General features: G+C 34.0%; 1 pseudogene across 1 annotated transcript in view; it reads left to right on the forward strand.

Moving 5' to 3' along the window:
- TXLNGY (taxilin gamma Y-linked (pseudogene)) overlaps nt 1-5,609 on the forward strand; it is a 39,813-nt pseudogene extending 34,204 nt beyond the window's left edge. The window contains exons 9-10 of the transcript NR_045128.1: nt 655-750; nt 2,236-5,609. The product of NR_045128.1 is annotated as a taxilin gamma Y-linked (pseudogene), transcript variant 1 (transcript). The remainder of the gene's footprint in view (nt 1-654; nt 751-2,235) is intronic.
- Nucleotides 5,610-6,719: the final 1,110 nt, after the last annotated feature.

Consider the following 6,719-nt stretch of genomic DNA (forward strand, 5'->3'; position numbering starts at 1 on the left):
TGGGAATTCGGTTCTTGTAGTATAGGTTCTTCCTCCCCTTATTTTTGGACCATTTTGGTCTTTATCAAAATGTGAAATAAAGCAATCTTGTGAATTGAAAGGATAAGTGAAACTAAGGATTCAGAAATGTTAATACCTCTTTCCTGATTAGTTCCCTAAATTACGCTACCTCTAGCTCTTACACTGATTTCCTTTCAGATTCTTGAGCTACTTTGGGACTGACAGTATATAAAATAATCTGATGGATTAGTGTAATTTATCATTTCTCCAGAAAACTCGGGGACATTTTTTCATATACTTCAGGAGCAGGAGGTCTCAGCTCTACTGTCCACACCTGAGCTGAGCTACACATCAGTCTTAATTGAGAGAATTCAGCTACCATGTGCTGATTCCCTTGAAATTAAGGACAACAACTTTGTTTTCTTTTAATGTGAAACTTCTGCTTTGGTTACTGCTGCTTTTACCATAGGAGCTTCTGAGATAAACTTTACTAACAAAAGAAAGATACCACTTACTCTTATAAAGAAAACACAAGTGTCAGCTGGTTGAGAAGAATGCAGTGATGGAGGAAGGGAAGAACATTGTAAAGTGATTTCTGTGGTGGATCAGGAAGTGAAACTTAGAATTTAAGTTTATGATTATGTTGATTCACAGCTGACAAAGAAAATTAAAAAACTGGAAAAAGAAATGGTAATATGGTATACCAAATGGGAAAATAATAATACAACACTTCTGCAAATGGCTGAAGAGGTAAGAAGGTTTTACGTGACTAAATAATGAGTACTTACTTATTTCAGTACGAAGACTAAGTCATTATTTAGTCTTAACTAAATAACCTCTGGAAGTGTGTCTTTACCTTCAGAATGTGTGCCTAATAACTACAAGTTTTATTTATACACTTTCCTGCAGCGAATTAGATTTTCTTGCATGTGATCAACTTCTTTCCCTCAACATAGTTATCTCAGAGTTTTGTTGAAGAAAACTTTATCATATTGAGATTTTGCTTTCCTATAAAGCAAAGTTGAGGTTGCACAAACTCAGTATTATTAAACCGACTTCCCTGTTCCCCCCATAGTTTTTTGCTTTGTTAGATTCTGGTGTTGCCCAGGAATTTGCATTTCTAGGTATTCAGGCGATGCTGATATGCTAGTTCAGATACTGTGACTTTGAGAGTCACTTGCTCTGTGTTAGAAAAGATAGCTTTATTCAGATTTTCCCCTGAGAGCATGAATTAGTATCTCAATTGCTTTTCTACCTTGATTTATTCATTTCCAAAAGGCAACTAAGTAGAGTTTACCAAGTTTGCTGTAAATATAGCTGAGTTGCATACCATTTGCAGTCACTTAAGTTTTTATTTTGTAAACTTGATTGGACTAATTATAACATTTCATAAGAAAATGTTGGAACATTCTCTTCTCAAAAATGGTAGAAAGGAAGAAAAACCCATGTAAAAATAACTTTAATGAACTCTTACTGCTGGCATTTTTAAAACATTTTCTCGTTATTTTTATTATATCAATGATAATATTTATAGCAATAAGTATCATTTAATGGTAGATATTATAATGTATAATGAATTGATTCAGTTAGATTTTACAATGAGCAGTCTACTCAGTCATCCTATGATACTTCAGTAATGAGATAATATGGCTAAAACAAATTATTTATATTTGGGTAGAAAAACTGCAAGTAGATGAAAATAGCATCTTCCCTTAATAGTTGGATATGATTTTATGTTCTTTATATATATTTTTAGCTCTTCACTAAAGAGCTTATTAGATGATAGAAAAACATAATATGGCTTATTTTAATTAAGATAATTAAAATTGACAGTTATCAGTTTGAAATTATTTTTTCAGAAAGCAGATAGATGTGCATTCCTTTGGTGAGTTATTTTATATAAAAAAGAAATTAACAATTATAACATTATCTTTGCTTCTATAGGAAAAGTTTTGCTGGTATTTTTGATTAATAGCCTTGATTTTCTTCGTACTTCATAAGTCATACTTAAAGTCAAAAGGTCCCTTTTGGTTACTTTAAGGAAAATGACAGAGATAATTTGTATCGCATTGCATAACAATAATTTTAAATATTTAACATAGCACTATATAGTGAGGTTTAAGACATGAAAACAAAGCAACTTTTTTTTATTATGGCTCAATTTACTCAATTTTGGATATAGTAACCTAATGATATTTAATAAGGTTACATAAACCTTATCTTTTTTTCTTACAGAAAACTATTCGTGATAAAAATTATAAGGTCTTTCAAATAAAATTGGAGCGGTTAGAGAAGCTGTACAAGGCTCTTCAAATAGAAAGGAATGAACTCAGTGAGAAACTGGGAATTCTGAAAGGGCAGGTCTCTGTGAAAGTAGCAGATGTAGATTTAGCAGTGCCTGTGACGCATTCCTGTGCTGACCTGGATTCTTCCAATATGCTGAACACTTCCTCTAAAAGAGCCCCAGGAGTCCATCTGGAGGCTGACCCCAAAGGAATGAATGAAGTAAAATGCTACTCAAAAGCCCTCTCCACAGGATCTCCTCTAGGCATTGATTAAGATTAAGTGTGATCATTGTACTGATGGATATATTTTGTGTACATGTTTCTCTTTTAGTTGTAACTATTGATTTTGTAATGAAAATTTCCTCTCCTTTTTCTACCATATCTCTGTTTTTTTAGAACTACTCAACTGTGTGGTAACAGAAAGCTTCTTACCAATTTCCCCAACTATGTTGCACATCAGCCTCATTTTCCCCCTTTATTGGAATGCATGTTTTCATTGCCTTCTCCTTTCAAAGTGTACGTTTGTGTGTTCATCACCTTAAATTATCTTAATTTGAGACTTTTTTATAATGGTTTCGTAATGTGAAATCAAATACTAATTTAAACTCTGGAGCCCATAATATCTACATAAAAGAAAATATAAACTGACTAATATTGTCAAGTCATTTAAATGATAAGTAAAACTTCAATGGATTAAGAAACAAGCATGGCATATTTGATTCAGATCAGTTTTTTGACAATATTTGTATGACTTTCCAAATTGATGTGACTGTAAACTTTGAATTCCTCAAAATTGACAGAATATATATATATATATATATATATATATATATATATATGTATGTACACACACACAGAGAGATCATTTAAATGTAAATGATGTTAAGAAAAACCAAAACAGTAGCATATGCAGGCAAGTCATTGGACCAATAGGCTTAATATTTATGAAACTGACAATTGTTCTGCTTTAGTTTCAGGTTACAATTATGTTTAAAGAAAAAAAAATCAGTATCTAGATCTCTGCACTTGGCATGGAAAATTTTGAACTATTTATTCCTTAATTTTCTTTTATTTCAGTTTCTCATAGAGCTAAATGGTTTTACATATATTCTCTTGTCAGATTTGTGGTCTAATAGAGGTAGAAAATGGAAATTTTCCCAGTACTTAGAAATATGGTACTTAGGAAGAAGTCTAGGATGTGAATTACATATACACTTCCCCTAGTGACTATGATAATCAAGGGGGCAGATAGCAGAGGAAAATAAGTTAACATGAAATTTGACAAATTTTATTACTTTGCCAAAATTAGCAAAACAAAAATACTCACCTTCCCCTGCTCACCCCCCAACTTTTTATAAATATTCAATTCAGCTACAAAACAAAATACTGGACCCACTTCTTTCAGAAGAGATGAAGATACCTTATATGCCCTAAAGTTAATACCAGCAGTCATATTTTATCAGATGTAAATCTGGATGTAAGCTCTTAATGTTATACTAAGGCAGTTTCTTAGGCTGTGACACTTCTTTGTGGTACTTGTTTTGTGTGAAAGGTAAATTTTGGGGAGAAAACAATGTGAAAAACAGAACTTGTTCTGTTGTTTTTGGCATACTGTTTATGTTAGATACACTGTGTTACAATACAATATTACGAAGATCTGCATTGTATTTTGGAATTTGGTTTCCTTTCAGAATTATTGCTCTGGCTAGCATTGGAAACAACAACAACAACAAAACCCAAAGGAACCCTTTGCAGAAGATTCCCTTGTAAATGGCCCTGTGGCATGCCCAGTATCTGCAATGTTCTAGAATAGAAGTTGGCAAACCTCTCTGTTTGCCAAGCCTGCAGAGTTGAACATGTCCATAAATGTATACAATCTGACCCTGTTTTTTGGCCCTGTTTCTGGACACTGTAGCTGACCAAGAAAATGTTTAAATGTTGCGATCAATTAAATTTTTTTGTTGTATCATTCTGGAGTTGTAATATGTATAGTGGCAGGGGATTCCAAGCTATAGAAAAAACATGAGTCTAGAATGACAGAGTGTGTCATCTTCAAATGTGTATTAATATATTTCTTGATGATGAGACCAATATTTCTAAGTTAATGGAACTATTTTATTACACCTGATAATCACAGTTCAATTCTTGTCTGTTGCAGAATTATCTACCTCTTTCAAACTGTAAATGAAAATAACTGTGAAAAAAAGGATGCAGTACTGATAAAAACACTGCTTTGTTTTTATCTCACCTCTTTTTTAAGGATATGATTTTATAAGAGGCAGTTCTCTTTTGCTTTTCAAGACTTCTGTAGAGTTTGTGTTTTTTGTTTTTGTTTTTGTTTTTGTTTTTGTTTTTTTACCTAATGTGAATCTTATTTTATCTACTCAACTTCGTTCAGGTTAACTAAAGATATAGATATAATGGTTAATATAGTAGCCTCTGTGTATTCTTTATAATGAATGTCACCTCAACTGTGTAACAGTGAAGTTCAAAAATAACTGTTGGAAAAAGTTACTATTTTTAAGGTCTTAAAAAACATAGTTAATTGCACAATTTAAAGATGCGTTACCATCTGGTTAGTTGGCAAAAATAACTTCATTCAGTCAGATCTCTGTTAGCATGGCCACTCCCAAACCCCCATTCAAAATAGGTGACCTACCCCTTTTAAAGTGGGTTACTTTAAGATTTCTGTAGTTTAACTTCTGGCAAGGCTTTTAAGAATCACAGTATTCAAGAAATTTTCTACTATCAGTTAACCTTAGCCTATCCAAATTTACTGGGAACTGAATAGATATAAATAGCAGGTGATACTTGTATAAAGAATTTCAGTGTCTTATTATTTAGTCATGGGTGAGCAAAAGTTAATATAACATTATGTAAACAATTAGATAGCTTTTACTTTCTAGACCAGGGGTTCCCAACCCCCAACTGGTAGTGATCATGGCCTGTTAGGAACCAGGATGCACAGCAGGAGGTGAGCAGCAAGTGGGCAAGTCAAGCTTCATCTTTATTACAGCCACTCCCCGTTGTGACATTACTGCCTGAACTCCACCTCCTGTAAGATCAACAGCAACATTAGATTCTCATTGGAGCACTAACCCTGTTGTGCCCTATGCATGTGAGTGATCTATCTTGCATGCTCCTTATAAGAATCTAATGCCTGATGATCTGTCCCCCAAGATGGGACTGTCTAGTTGCAGGAAAACAAGCTCACAGCTCCCACTGATTCTATATTATGGTGAGTTGTATAATTGTTTTATTATGTATTACAATGTAGTAATAATAGAAATAAAGTGCAAAATAAATATTATGCATTGAACCATTCCCAAACCATCCTCCTCCCTCCAGCCCCTCAACTGCCCTGTCTGTGGAAAAAATTGTCTTCTATGAAACCTGTACCTGCATCCAGAAAAGTTGGGGACTGCTGTTCTAGACAACACTGAAGGAAAAGTTGAGGCACTTTTAAAAGAGATCAAGAAGTAATGTAATGGAAAATAGAAATAGGGAGAGCCAAGAATCAGTTTCTATTGAAACAGCCATTAAATAGGCAACAACATCAACTCTTTTGGAACTCTGGAATCTAATATAAACAGAGACCCCAGGGTACTACTTAGTTTAGAATGAAGAGACTGCTAAAGTTCTCTAAGGATTGTGGCATTTGACTACCTGCCTATTATCCTATATTGTCCACCTTGGCAATAGTTGTGGAGACAGCAGCCCCACATTACTGGTATAGCTTACTGGCTTTAACAATGTGAATGAAATAAGAACATAACTTGAAGTTAATTTTTTAAAAAAAGATATCAAAATTTGTGGGTGTAGTAAAAGGAAACTCAGAGCAATGAATATTTGTAAATACATTATAAGATAAGAAAGATCTTCAATTAATAACATGTTCATACCTTAAGGAAAAAGGAAAAAGCAAACTACTAGCTACCAGAGGAAGGAAATCAATATTAGGGTATAGATATGTGAAGCAGATAATATAAAAATAATAGAATCTATGAAACCAATGGTTCCTTCTTGGAAAAAGATCAAAGTTGTCAAACCTTTAACTGAACTTCCCGAAAATGAAAGAAGATGTAAATAAGTAAAATTAGAAATGAAAGTCGGGACATTACTACTCCACAGTAAAAATGGCTATAAGAAAATACTATGGAGCCAGGTGTGGTGGCTCACACCTGTAATGCTAGCACTTTGGTATGCTGAGGCAAGTGGATCGCTTGAGTTCAGGAGTTCAAGACCAGCCTGGGTAACATAGCAAATGCCTGTCTCTACAAAAAAATACAAAATTAGCCAGTGGTAGTGGATGCCTGTAGTCCTAGCTACCTGGGTGGCTGAGGCAGAAGGATCCCCTGAGCCCAGGAGTTGGAGTCTACAGTGAGTTGTGATCCTGACGGTGCACTCCAGCCTGGGCAACAGAGGGAGACACTG

Source organism: Homo sapiens, chromosome Y, assembly GCF_000001405.40.
Source record: "Homo sapiens chromosome Y, GRCh38.p14 Primary Assembly".
Classification (NCBI taxonomy): domain Eukaryota; kingdom Metazoa; phylum Chordata; class Mammalia; order Primates; family Hominidae; genus Homo; species Homo sapiens.